Genomic DNA, 14,188 nt, shown 5'->3' with positions numbered 1-14,188 from the left:
GGGCAGGAAGGAGGGGGCTGCTTTGGACAGGGCCACAGGGAAGCGCAGAGGAGACGCCTGATCCTGGACAGCCCCAGGGCCACACACGCTCCTAAATATGCCCCCCAGCTGACAAGTTCTCCCTGTTCCAGGCTTAGACACACCCCATTTCCCAGGATTTATGCAGGAAGGATGTAAAGAACCCAAGTCCCACATGGAACGTGTCCCAGTTCTGATAACTGGGCTTCGGCCTCATTCCCAATACCCCGTCCACATCTTGTGCTCTAGTTCAGGGATCCGGGTCCCTGACTTGTTTCCTGGGACCTAGTCTGTCCCAGTCACTTGCCTGGACCCCCAGAGTGTTTCATCTCTTGGAGTCCTAGGGAGGGGTGCCGGGGTGAGGGGCCCTGGTTGTTGTATTTCAGCCGCTCCCTTCCCCACACTACCCAGACTCCTCTGATATGTTTGGCCTCTAGACTGGACTCTAAGACCAGCATCAGGGTCAGCTACCCCACCCCACCCCTGCAGCACCTGCCCCATCCTTAAGAGGTTCTTGATTAGTCCCCAGCCCTCCCTGCACACACCATCTTAGGGGCACAAAGCCTTCATCCTCCTACTCTCTCAATACTGTCACTGTTCTTGGTTGGATGTCTTCCTCAGATGATCCCTGTGAAAAGTCAGGGTGCTAGCCAGGGATCAGGGGATCACACCGGCAGGACAGGGCTTTCCAGACTTTTCCAAAGCTTCCCAAACTTCCAACAAGAGTAGCGTCACCACATGAGGACCAGGGGGTAGGTATCCCTGGAAGTGGCACTTCAAAACAGAGAAACTGCATTTGAAGTCTGTTATCTGACAAATTCATGCGCTTTTTTCATTCTACTCCAGAATGAATCCAGATTTGTTTTAAGATAAAAATATTTGAATTACCACTGAGCAAAATTAAGCTACAGGCAGCTATGCCTTGTTTATCCTCTTTTGCACCAGTTTACTTGCAAACACCCCATCTCCCTCTGTCTCACTCAGCTGGCAAGGTCCAACCCTGGTGAAATCCTGCTGTCCACCTGCTTCGTGCCAGCACCTGCACAATTGAATGCGGATGTGAAAAAGCACGGATTTTGATGTGTGTTGACTCTCATTTTCTTTTCTATTTATTTATTTATTTTTGATATGGAGTCTTACTCCATCTCCCAGGCTGGAGTGCAGTGGCACAATCTCGGCTCACTACAACTTCCGCCTCCCACGTTCAAGTTTCTCCTGCCTCAGCCTCCCGAATAGCTGGGACTACAGGCACATGCCACCATGCCCAGCTAATTTTTTTTTTTTTTAGTAGAGATAGGGTTTCACCATGTTAGTCAGGCTGGTCTCAAACTCCTGACCTCAAATGATCCACCTGCCTCAGCCTCCTAAAGTGCTGGGATTACAGATGTGAGCCACCGCGCCCAGCCTGACTCTCATTTTCAGTCCTTGGCCAGAGATCTCCAACCCTGCCCTGCAATCTTAGTACACATTCCTTGTTTGGGGTCTTACTCTCCAAAGTGACTACATCATATTCCCTCTCTCCTCAAATCTACAGCCCTCCACTCCCAGCTCTGCACACTCAAGGGTGGCCTCACCTCCTAGTTCATTGAGAAAACCATTAGTTCAGTGTTCCCCCATCACCCCACCACCAAGTCTGCCTGCAAACCCGCACTGTACCCAGATTTTCTGGCTTCCCCTGGTTACTCTGAATAAACTGTCACTGTTCCTATCAGAGGCGCTGTGTAATGGATCCCCTTCCACTTTATCTTCTCAATAACATTTCTCCTGCATTACCAACCTATCCTTATCTACTTTGTCATTTCAATGGGCCTCCACGTCTGCCCCAGTATCTCCTCTCTTACACAGAATCCCCATCTTGGGCCAATACCTCCTGCAGCTGTCACTCATTCCTTTTCTCCTTTCACTGCAAAACCTCTTGAAAAATCAGGAGTATCAGGGGTCCCCAAGACCACCCACAGGTTTGATGATTCACTGGAAAGACTCACAGAACTCAGAAAAGCTGCTAAACTCATGGTTACGGTTTATTACATTGAAAAGATACAGATGCAAATTAGCCAAGGAGAAAGGCATATAGGGTGGAATCCAGGACAGACCAGGAGCAGGATTCCAGTTGTTCTTTCCCAAAGTCCTACGGAGAGCACTTCATTCTCTCAGCAATGATGTGTGACACACACACAAGAGACTTGTCCATCAGGGAAGCTCACCCCAGTCTTGGTGTCCAGGGTCTATACTGGGGGATGGTTATGTAATGGAGCACCCGTATGACTGACCTTAACTACTCAGTCTCAGGACCCTCTCCAGAGGTCAAACTGATACAGTGTGACCAAGGGCATTTGGCATAAAAGACTTTGTCAGCATAAATTATCTGGCATGGCCCAAGGTAAACAAAGATAGTCTCATCAGGCAGGACCTTCCAAGGGTTTAGAAGTTACCTGCTGGGGAGCTGCTCCAGGCCCAGTCCTTTCTTTGGAATGCACAGGGTTCCATCAGCCCAAGCCTGCTGAGTTAACCCTTTGCTAGACAGTGGGTCTACAGTTTTTTGGGGGTTTTGGGTGTTTTGTTTTTGTTTTTGAGATGGAGTCTCACTTTGTCACCCAGACTGGAGTGCAGTGGCACCATCTTGGCCCACTGCAACCTCTGCCTCCCGGGTTCAAGCGATTCTCCTGCCTCAGTCTCCCGAGGAGCTGGGATTACAGGCATGTGCCACCACACCCGGCTAATTTTTATATTTTTAGTAGAGACGGGGTTTCGCCATGTTGGCCAGGCTGGTCTCAAACTCCTGAGCTCAAAATAATCCTCCTGCCTTGGCCTCCCAAAGTACTGGGATTACAGGCGTGAGCCACCACAGTCAGCCAGGTCTACAGTTTTGATGCCACTTCATCCCACTTTCATTCACATCTTGTCCAGTTCCCATGAGGCTGCTGTTCCCCCCACACCCCCACTCCACCGAAGTCTTACCTGTCCAGGCCAACAATAACGTCCACGTTACAAAATCCAATGGCCAGGCCTCTGCCATTGTCTTAGCCACACTCTCAGCTGCATCTAACATACTCCTTCCTTCTTGAAAAATGTATCCTCTTGCCTTCCAAAACACACCCTCTCCTGGTTTGTCTTTCACCTCAGTGGTTCTCAAATTGTAGCCTGCATTACAATCGCCTGGAGCGAGTTAAAGCACTGGTCGCTGACCTCTGGGCTCCACCCTGGAGGTTCTGAGGCAGTAGATCTGGGGTGGGGCCCAATCGTCTGCTTCTCTAACAAGCGCCAGATGATGCTATGGCTGCTGGTCCTGGGACCACACTTTGAGAACTACTGCTCTATTTCACTGGCGGTTCCTACTAGGACTCCTTCTGGTGCCTCCTCATCTCCCTGGTCCCTAAATGCTGCACTACCCCAGGGCGCAGTTCTGGGTCTCTTTATTCTTTCTACCTAGATGCTCTCCCTAGGAAATCTCATCCAAGCCCATGGCTTTGACTCCCTCCTAGATTTTTCCCTGAACTCCACATTTGCATATCCAGGTTACCCAATAGGAGTCTCAAAATGTAGGTATCCAAAACTAAGCACTTGATCTTCCTCTCCCTACCCCACTCACCCCCTTCTCAATAAATAGGCTCAAATAAATAGGCTCAATTCCGGTTGCTCATTGACTTCTCTCTTTCTATTGCCCATCTATTCAATCCATCGCCCATTGACTCAACTACTAACCCATATCTCAACCCACGTTCACTCCTTTCCACTCTGCTACCACTCTGTTCCAAGCCACCATTGTCTCTTAAAAATGCAGTTTCCTCTCTTAAAATCCATTCTCTGGCCGGGTGCAATAGTAACTCACCCCTGTAATCCCAACACTTTGGGAGGTCGGGCAGGAGGATTGCTTGAGCCGAGGAATTCAAGACCAGCCTAGGCAACAGAATGAGATCCTGTCTCCACAAAATTTTTTTTTTTTTTTAATTAGCTGGGCGTGGTGGTGCACACCTGTAGTTCTAGCTACTCTGGAGGCTGAGGCGGGAGGATCACTTGAGTCTGGGAGATAGAGGCTACAGTGAGCCCTGATTGTTCCACTATACTCCAGCCTGAGTCACAGAGTGGGACTCTTAAAAAAAGAATTAGTTCTCCTTATGACACCTACAATGATCATGTTGCAATCAAAATATTGTCACTCCCCTCTGTAAAACTCCAAAGCAGCCCGGGCATGGTGGCTCACGCCTGTAATCCCAGCACTTTGGAAGGCCAAGGCAGGTGGATCACCTGAGGTCAGGAGTTTGAGACCAGCCTGGCCAACACAGTGAAACCCCGTCTCTATTAAAAATACAAAAATTAGCTGGGCATGGTGGCAGGTGCCTGTAAGCCCAGCTACTCAGTAGGCTGAAGCAGGAGAATTGCTTGAACCCAGGAGGCGGAGATTGCAGTCCAGCCTGGGCAACATAGCCAAGACTCTGTTGAAAAGAAAAGAGAAGAGAAGAGAAGAGAAGAGAAGAGAAGAGAAGAGAAGAGAAAAGAAAGAAAAAAAATAGAAAAGAAAAGAAAAGAAAAAAGAAAAGAGAAAAGGAAAAGACAAGACAAGACAAGACTCTCCAAAGCTTCCCAGTTCGCTTAAACTAAAATCCACGCCCTCGTGGTGACTCTCAAAGCCCTCTGGGATCCTGTCCCTGCCCACCTCCTGGATTTTATGTGGTCACTCTCTCCCCTCTGCTCATTCCACTCCAGGACACACTGGCCTTCTTGCTGCCCCTCAAACGTGCCAGATTCAGATAACCTGCATGTGTCATTCTCTCAACCTGGAATGTTCCTTCCCCAGGTCTCAGTGGACTTGCTCCTTTTGATCATCCAAGTCTCAGCTGTCATGCAGCAATCACAGATGTGTTTGCTGACCACCTGGCCATAAGTAGCTGCCTGGTCGCTCTCTGTCATTTGCCACATACCCTCTATTACCGCAGACCTGGGAACCAAGCCCTCCCTGCTCAACCTGGAACCAAACCTGCCAGGGTACCCTGCTCTATCATCCTTTTTCATTCTCACCACAGTATGAGTCTCTCTTTGACAATGGTATTTTACTAACTTCCTATGATAAGTCACCAGAGTGTCCTCCTGAATAAACTGTCAGCTCTACGAGGGAAGGGACTGTATTTGTCTTTTTCACCACCATATAGATCCAGTGCCCTGGCACAGAGTAGGTGTTTAACACTGATTTGCTGAATACTAATAACTGGTATATATTGAGTGCTTTTATATGACAGGAACTCAGTTCTCTGAGTACTTGACATATATTAGTTTATTTAATCCAAGGAGGCAAGTTCCATAAGAAAACTGAGGCCCAGAGAGGGAGACTTCCCCAAGATCACATGGCTGGGAAGTGACAACACTAGATTTTTATTTTTATTTATTTATTTATTTTGAGACAGAGTTTCACTCTTGTTGCCCATTGCCCAGGCTGGAGTGCAGTGATCTCGGCTCACTGCAGCCTCCAACCTCCACCTCCCAGGTTCAAGCAATTCTCCTGCCTCAGCCTCCCAAGTAGCCTGGATTACAGGTGCCCACCACCACGCCCAGCTAATTTTTGTATTTTTAGTAGAGATGGGGTTTCACCATGTTGGCCAGGCTGGTCTTGAACTCCTGACCTCAGGTGATCCACCCACCTCGGCCTCCCAAAGTGCTGGGATTACAAGTGTGAGCCGTCACGCCCAGCTGCAACACTAGAATTTAATCCAGTCTGACTCCTGAACAAGCACCCAAATGCTGCACAATATGGTCTGTAATTAAGGGGTTCCCCTTAGTCCCTCAAGGATGTCAAAATATTCGTGTGAGAAACAAAGGCTGGTGCAGATTTCTGTTGCAGACCAGCTTTCCCACTGAGAAAACCTAGAAAGACAGAACATATTTAAGACATCCAAGGAAAAGGCAGGTACAGTGGCTCACACCTGTAATCCCAGCACTTTGGGAGGCCAAGGCAGGCAGATCACTTGAGGCCAGGAGTTCAAGACCAGCCTAACCAACATGGTGAAACCCTGTCTCTACTAAAAATACAAAAATTAGCTGGGCATGATGGTGCGTGCCTGTAATCCCAGTTACTCGGGAGGCTGAGGCAGGAGAATCACTTGAACCCGGGAAATGGAGGCTGCAGTGAGCCGAGGTCATGCCATTGCACTCCAGCCTGGGCAACAGAGTGAGAATCCATCTCAAAAAAAATAAAAGAAGGCATCCAAGGAAGGCATTGGAGAGGTATCAAGACAAGTCAGAGTTGAGGGACAAAGATCCCAGGAAGAAGAGAAGTTCAGAGAGGTGAGCCTGGATTCTGGGGCAGCAGCCTTCCTCTTATGGCCCCTATCCACTAACAACAAATCGCTAAGTTGAGCAGCCAGTTAATATCTTCAAGAAATTACACGACAATGAGAACTAGAGCTTCCAGCTAAAAACTGAAGTTTAGGATGAGGAGCTCTGGTAAATGACCCAGGCTTTTAGTGGGTTACACACTCTGAGTAGGGAAAAAGTCCAGCCCTCCCACACACAGAATGGCAGTTTCCAAGCATCCCATTCATTGATTGAATTAAGGTGTCTGCCTCTTCACCAACAGCTTGCCAGAAGCCAAGTAAATTCTCTGGAGGAAGAGAACAACGCCATCCAAACTCTCACATTATATTTTTGTTACACAAAGTTTGGCATTCAATAAAAAAAAAATTACCCGACATATCTGGAAATGAAACAGAATGACTGAAAATCCAGACGGGGGAAAAAAATTTTTTTAAGGCCACTAGACCTACACATGTGATAAAATTGCCTACAATTAAATCTCACACACACACATACACACACATACATATATACCCACAAATATACACAAATACACACATATATACACACATGCACACACACGCACACACATACACATACACACACATTACACACATATATACACATGCTCATGCACATATGCACATACACATACCCACACATGCACAAACATACACACATACAAACACTCACACACAAACACACACACATGCACATACACACATACAAACACATACACACACATGCACACACATACACACAAACATACACAAACACACACACATTACACACACACACATATACAGACACACACGACCACAAGTAAAACTAGGGAAACCTAAATAAGACAGTATCAATGTTAATATCCTGGTTGTGATGTTGTACTATACTCTCATAGGATGTTACCATTAAGGGAAGCTGGGTAAAGGGTACATGGGCTCTCTCTGTGTTATTTCTTACAACTGAGTGAGTCTACAATTATTTTGAAATAAAATGTTTCATTTAAAACAGGCCATGATGGGCCTGTTATCCAGATAGTGGTGTTATGAGACATAGACTTGAAAATAATTATCATTAATATATTCAGGGCTTTTTTTTGAGACAGTGTCTCACTCTTCCCCCAAGGCTGGAGTGGCTCCATCTCGGCTCACTGCAACCTCCAGCTCCCAGGCTCAAGGGATCATCCCACTTCAGCCACCTGAGTAGCTGGGACTGCAGGTGTGCAACACTGCACCTGGCTAATTTTTGTATTTTTTGTAAAGATGGGGTTTCACCATGTTGCTTAGGCTGGTCTTGAACTTCTGGGCTCAAAGGATCCTCCTGCCTTGTCCTCCCAAAGTGCTGGGAATACAGGGAAGCCTATTCAGGACTTTAGATGACAAATGGAAGAATTTCAACAGAGGATTGTAAACTGTAAAAAAGAATCAAATGGAAATGATAGAACTGAAAAATACATTAAACGAACTTATGAACTCAATAAATAGATTTAACAGCAGATTAGATACAGCTGAAGTGAACTCTATTAGAAAGACCAAAAGAAATTACCCAGAATAAAGACTGAGAGAAAAGAATGAAAAGTGCAGAAAAGGGTATAAAGATTAATATGGGACATAGTGAAAAGATCTAACATGTAAGGAGACCCAGAAGAAGTAAACAGCACAATTAGGGCGGAAATAATGGTTTTTTTGTTTTGTTTTGTTTTGAGACAGAGTCTCACTCTGTCACCCAGGCTGGAGTGCAGTGGCATGATCTTGGCTCACTGCAACCTCTGCCCCCCAGGTTCAAGTGATTCTCCTGCCTCAGCCTCCCAAGTAGCTGAGATTACAGGCACCTGCCACCACACCTGGCTAATTTTTGTATTTTTAGTAGAGATGGGGTTTCACCATATTGGTCAGGCTGGTCTTGAACTCCTGCCACCACACCTGGCCGGAAATAATGTTTTAATAGAGACCATCTAAGAATTTTCCCAAATCTGTTGAAAGACATTAAGCCACAGATTCAAGAATCTCAGGGAACCCCAAGCATGAAAAGAAAACTACAACTAGGCCCCTAATAGTGAAACAGTTGTAAATAGTGAAACATTTGTAAATCAAACACAAAGAGAAAAATCTTAAAAGCATCCAAAGGAAAAAGATGCATTACCTTTCAAGGAGCAGTAGCAAGACTGAAAGCTAACTTTTCAACAGAAGGAATGGAGAAAGGAAGACAATAAACCAATATCTGCAAAGTGCAGAAAGGAAATTACTGCCACCCTGGAACTCTAGAGACAGTGAAAACATCCTTCAGAAATGGAGATGAAATAACGATATTTTCAGACAAAGAAAGAACTAAGAGGACTTATCACTGGTGTTTTTTGTCGTCAACAGAACTTCACAAAAGGAAGTGCTTTAGGGAGCAGGAAAATGATCCCTGAAGGAAGCGTGGTGATTCCAGTGAAGAACAACAGAAAGGGTACATATGTGGATAAATCTTACTTAATGTTGATTGAAAATAAAAGCAAGTACGTCTTGTGAGTTTTACGATTCATGACAATAAAAACAAAAATTGGGAAGAGGTGAATGCAATTAAAATATTCTAATGTCCTTACATTGTCCTGGAAGTAGCAAAAGTATTAATTTTATATTAAACTCTAATACGTCCAGGATCAATGTTATATTTTCCTACAGTAATCATTAAAGGATTGCAAAAGAGTATGTAACTAACAAGCTACCAAGAATATAAAAATAATTCAAAAAAGGCCCAAAAAGGGGAGAAAAAAGGGACTCCCAAAGGAAAGGACAAATAGAAAATAAATAGTAAGTGGGCTGATTTAAACAATTTTAATGTAAATTAGTAATTGCACTAAATATAAAAAGATACGTATTCCAAATAGTGTCAATCTGGGTTTAAAAAAAACTACATAGAAAGATTGAAATTAAAAGGATAGAAAATATATAGCATGCAAACATTACTTCAAAGGAAGTTGGTATAGCTATATTAAAGTAGACTTAAGGGCAAGAAGCATTGCTAAAAATAAAAAGGACATTTCATGATGGTAAAGAATCAATCTCTTAGGACGGTATGATGGTTTTAAATTTGTATGCACATATGAACATAGCTTCATAACATATAAAGTAAAAATTGGCAGAACCAAGTCTGGGCGCGGTGGCTCACACCTGTAATCCCAGAACTTTGGGAGGCAAGGCAGATGAATCATCTGAGGTCAGGAGTTCGAGACCAGGCTGACTAACATGGCAAAACCCCGTCTCAACTAAAAACACAAAAATTAGCTGAGCATTGTGGCAGGTGCCTGTAATCCCAGCTATTTGGGAGGCTGAGGCATGGGAGTCGTTTCACCCTGGGAGGCAGAGGTTGCAATGAGCCAAGATCATGCCACTACACTCCAGCCTGGGCTGGACAGAGCGAAACTCAGTCTCAAAAAAAAACCAAACCAAAACAAAACAAAAAATTGGCAGAACCAAAAGGAAAATTTAACAAGTGCAAAACAAGAGTTGACTAAATGGAATATTTTAACACACTTCTCTCAGTAACTTATAGGACAAGCAGATAAAATTTTTTTTTTTAATTTATTTTTTTATTGATAATTCTTGGGTGTTTCTCACAGAGGGGGATTTGGCAGGGTCATGGGACAATAGTGGAGGGAAGGTCAGCAGATAAACAAGTGAACAAAGGTCTCTGGTTTTCCTAGGCAGAGGACCCTGCGGCCTTCCGCAGTGTTTGTGTCCCTGATTACTTGAGATTAGGGATTGGTGATGACTCTTAATGAGCATGCTGCCTTCAAGCATCTGTTTAACAAAGCACATCTTGCATCGCCCTTAATCCATTTAACCCTGAGTGGACACAGCACATGTTTCAGAGAGCACAGGGTTGGGGGTAAGGTCACAGATCAACAGGATCCCAAGGCAGAGGAATTTTTCTTAGTGCAGAACAAAATGAAAAGTCTCCCATGTCTACTTTCTACACAGACACGGCAACCATCCGATTTCTCAATCTTTTCCCCACCTTTCCCGCCTTTCTATTCCACAAAGCCGCCATTGTCATCCTGGCCCGTTCTCAATGAGCTGTTGGGCACACCTCCCAGACGGGGTGGTGGCCGGGCAGAGGGGCTCCTCACTTCCCAGTAGGGGCGGCCGGGCAGAGGCGCCCCTCACCTCCCGGACGGGGCGGCTGGCCGGGCGGGGGGCTGACACCGCCACCTCCCTCCCGGACGGGGCGGCTGGCCGGGCAGAGGGGCTCCTCACTTCCCAGTAGGGGCGGCCAGGCAGAGGCGCCCCTCACCTCCCGGACGGGGTGGCTGGCCGGGCGGGGAGGGCTGACCCCCCCCCACCTCCCTCCCGGACGGGGCGGCTGGCCGGGCGGGGGGCTGACACCCCCACCTCCCTCCCGGACGGGGCGGCTGGCCGGGCAGAGGGGCTCCTCACTTCCCAGTAGGGGCGGCTGGGCAGAGGCGCCCCTCACCTCCCGGACGGGGCGGCTGGCCGGGCAGGGGGGCTGACCCCCCCCACCTCCCTCCCGGACGGGGCGGCTAGCCGGGCGGGGGGCTGACCCCCCCACCTCCCTCCCGGACGGGGCGGCTGGCCGGGCAGAGGGGCTCCTCACTTCCCAGTAGGGGCGGCCGGGCAGAGGCGCCCCTCACCTCCCAGACGGGGCGGCTGGCCGGGCGGAGGGCTGACCCCCCCACCTCCCTCCCGGACAGGGCGGCTGGCCGGGCGGGGGGCTGACCCCCCCACCTCCCTCCCGGACGGGGCGGCTGGCCGGGCAGAGGGGCTCCTCACTTCCCAGTAGGGGCAGCCGGGCAGAGGCGCCCCTCACCTCCCAGACGGGGCGGCTGGCCGGGCGGAGGGCTGACCCCCCGACCTCCCTCCCGGATGGGGCGGCTGGCCGGGCGGGGGGCTGACCCCCCCCACCTCCCTCCCGGGCGGGGTGGCTGCCGGGCGGAGACGCTCCTCACTTCCCAGATGGGGTGGCTGCCGGGCGGAGAGGCTCCTCACTTCTCAGACGGGGCAGCTGCCGGGCGGAGGGGCTCCTCACTTCTCAGACGGGGTGGTTGCCAGGCAGAGGGTCTCCTCACTTCTCAGACGGGGCGGCCGGGCAGAGACGCTCCTCACCTCCCAGACGGGGTCTCGGCCGGGCAGAGGCGCTCCTCACATCCCAGATGGGGCGGCGGGGCAGAGGCGCTCCCCACATCTCAGACGATGGGCAGCCGGGCAGAGACGCTCCTCACTTCCTAGATGTGATGGCGGCTGGGAAGAGGCGCTCCTCACTTCCTAGATGGGATGGTGGCCGGGCGGAGACGCTCCTCACTTTCCAGACTGGGCAGCCAGGCAGAGGGGCTCCTCACATCCCAGACGATGGGCGGCCAGGCAGAGACACTCCTCACTTCCCAGACGGGGTGGCGGCCGGGCAGAGGCTGCAATCTCGGCACTTTGGGAGGCCAAGGCAGGCGGCTGGGAGGTGTAGGTTGTAGTGAGCCGAGATCACGCCACTGCACTCCAGCCTGGGCACCATTGAGCACTGAGTGAACGAGACTCCGTCTGCAATCCCGGCACCTCGGGAGGCCGAGGTTGGCGGATCACTCGCGGTTAGGGGCTGGAGACCGGCCCGGCCAACACAGCGAAACCCCGTCTCCACCAAAACCAGTCAGGCGTGGCGGCGCGTGCCTGCAATCGCAGGCACTGGGCAGACTGAGGCAGGAGAATCAGGCAGGGAGGTTGCAGTGAGCCGAGATGGCAGCAGTACAGTCCAGCTTCCGCTCCGCATGAGAGGGAGACCGTGGGGAGAGGGAGAGGGAGGGGGAGGGGGAGGGGGAGGGGGAGGGGGAGAGGGAGAGGGAGAGGCAGAAAAAAATTTTACATCTGGCCGGGCACGGTGGCTCATGCTTGTAATCCCAGCTACTCAGGAGGCTGAGGCAGGGGAGTCACTTGAACCCAAGAGGCGGAGGTTGCAGCAAGCGGAGATCGCACCACTGCACTCCAGCCTGGGTGACAGAGGGAGACTCTGTCTCAAAAAACAAAAAAATTATATCCAGTGTGGTTATAGAAAATTTGGCAAAATGATTGAACAAATTTGACCTAATAGAGCAACTACAGAATAGATATTCTTTTCAATTGCACGTGAAAAATTTACCCAAACTGGGCTGGACATGGTGGTTCATGCCTGCAATCCTAACACTTTGGGAGGCTGAGGGGGGTGGATCACCTGAGGTCAGGAGTTCGAGACCAGCCTGGCCAACATGGTGAAACCCCGTCTCTACTAAAAATACAAAAATTAGCCAGGTGTGGTGGTGCACACCTATAATCCCAGCTACTTGGGAGGCTGAGGTAGGAGAATCGCTTGAACCTGGGAGGCAGAGATTGCAGTGAGCCAAGATTGCACCACTGCACTCCAGCCTAGGTGACAAAGCAAGACTATCTCAAAAAGAAACAAACAAACAAATGTCCCGCCACCAAGATGTCTACATCCTAATGCACAGATGCTGTAAATATGTCACATGCAAAGGGAAATGTTTCAGATGGAATTAAGGCTGTTAGTTAGGTAGTCTTGAGATAAGGAGATTAACTTGGCTTATCTGGATAGACCCAATGAAATTGTAAGGGTCCTTAGATGTGGAAGAGGGAGTGCCAAACAAGTGATACTCAAATAGTGGAAATGCTGCATGAGAAAGATTCAACCGGCCACTGCTGGCTTTAAACATGCAAAGGGACTGTGAGCCAAGGAATTTGGGAAACCTCTAGAGGCCAGAAAAGGAAAGGAAACGGAGTGTCCTTTAGAGACTCATGAAGAACAGCAGCTCTGGGGACACCTCGATTTTAGCCCAATGAGACACATTTCGTTTTTCATTTTTATTATTTTATTTATTTATTTATTTATTTATTTATTTATTTATTTATTTGAGATGGTGTCTCTCTCTGTCACCCAGGCTGGAGTGCAGTGGCACGATGTCAGCTCCCTGCAACCTCCACCACCTAGGTTCAAGCAATTCTCCTGCCTCAGCCTCCTAAGTAGCTGGGATTACAGGCGCGCGCCACCATGCCCAGCTAATTTTTTTTTTTTTTTTAAGGTAGAGACGGGGTTTCGCCATGTTGCCCAGGCTGGTCTCGAACTCCTAACCTCAGGTGATCCGCCCATCTCGGCCTCCCAAAGTGCTGGGGTTACAGGCATGAACCACCATTCCTGGCCCCAAGGAGACCCATTTCAAACTTATAATCCATTTGTGTTGTTTTAAGTCACTAAGTTTGTGGGAATTTGAAACAGCAGCCATAGAAAAGTATGACGATGATTGACATGCCTGGGTTAAAAGTAAGTTTCAATGAATTTTTGAGAATGAAAGCATACTAAGTAGGAAGCCAGAAATCAATGTTTTTGAAAAAATACATAGCCCCTGCTGGGTGTGGTTTCTCATGCCTATAATCTCAGCTGCTCGGGAGGCTGAGGCAGGATGATGAGCCCAGGAGTTCAAGACCCAGGAGTCCAAGCCCAGGAGTTCAAGACCAGCCTGGGCAACATAGCAAGATTCCATCTTAAAAAAAAAAAAAAGAATCTAGATAATATCCAAATGTTTACAAATTAAGCAAAACACTTCTAAATAACTCACGGATAAAGGAAGAAATCATAATAGAAATTAGACAATTTTAACTAAATGATAATGAAAATGTGGAACAGCAAAGCATGTGAGATGCAGTTGAAGCTATGTTTAGAGGGATATTGGTAGGCATAAATGTATACATTAGGAAAGAAGGAAGGCTGATAGTCAATTAAGGCTCCATCTCAAGCAATTGGAAAGAGTAAATCCAACAGAAAGAAAGTAGAGGAAGTAATAAAGATAATAGCAGAAATTAATACAATAGAAGACAATTTTTTTCTTTTTTGAGATAGAGTCTCACTC

The sequence above is a fragment of the Homo sapiens genome, chromosome 22 (assembly GCF_000001405.40).
Source record: "Homo sapiens chromosome 22, GRCh38.p14 Primary Assembly".
Classification (NCBI taxonomy): domain Eukaryota; kingdom Metazoa; phylum Chordata; class Mammalia; order Primates; family Hominidae; genus Homo; species Homo sapiens.
This window is presented reverse-complemented; position numbering follows the sequence as displayed.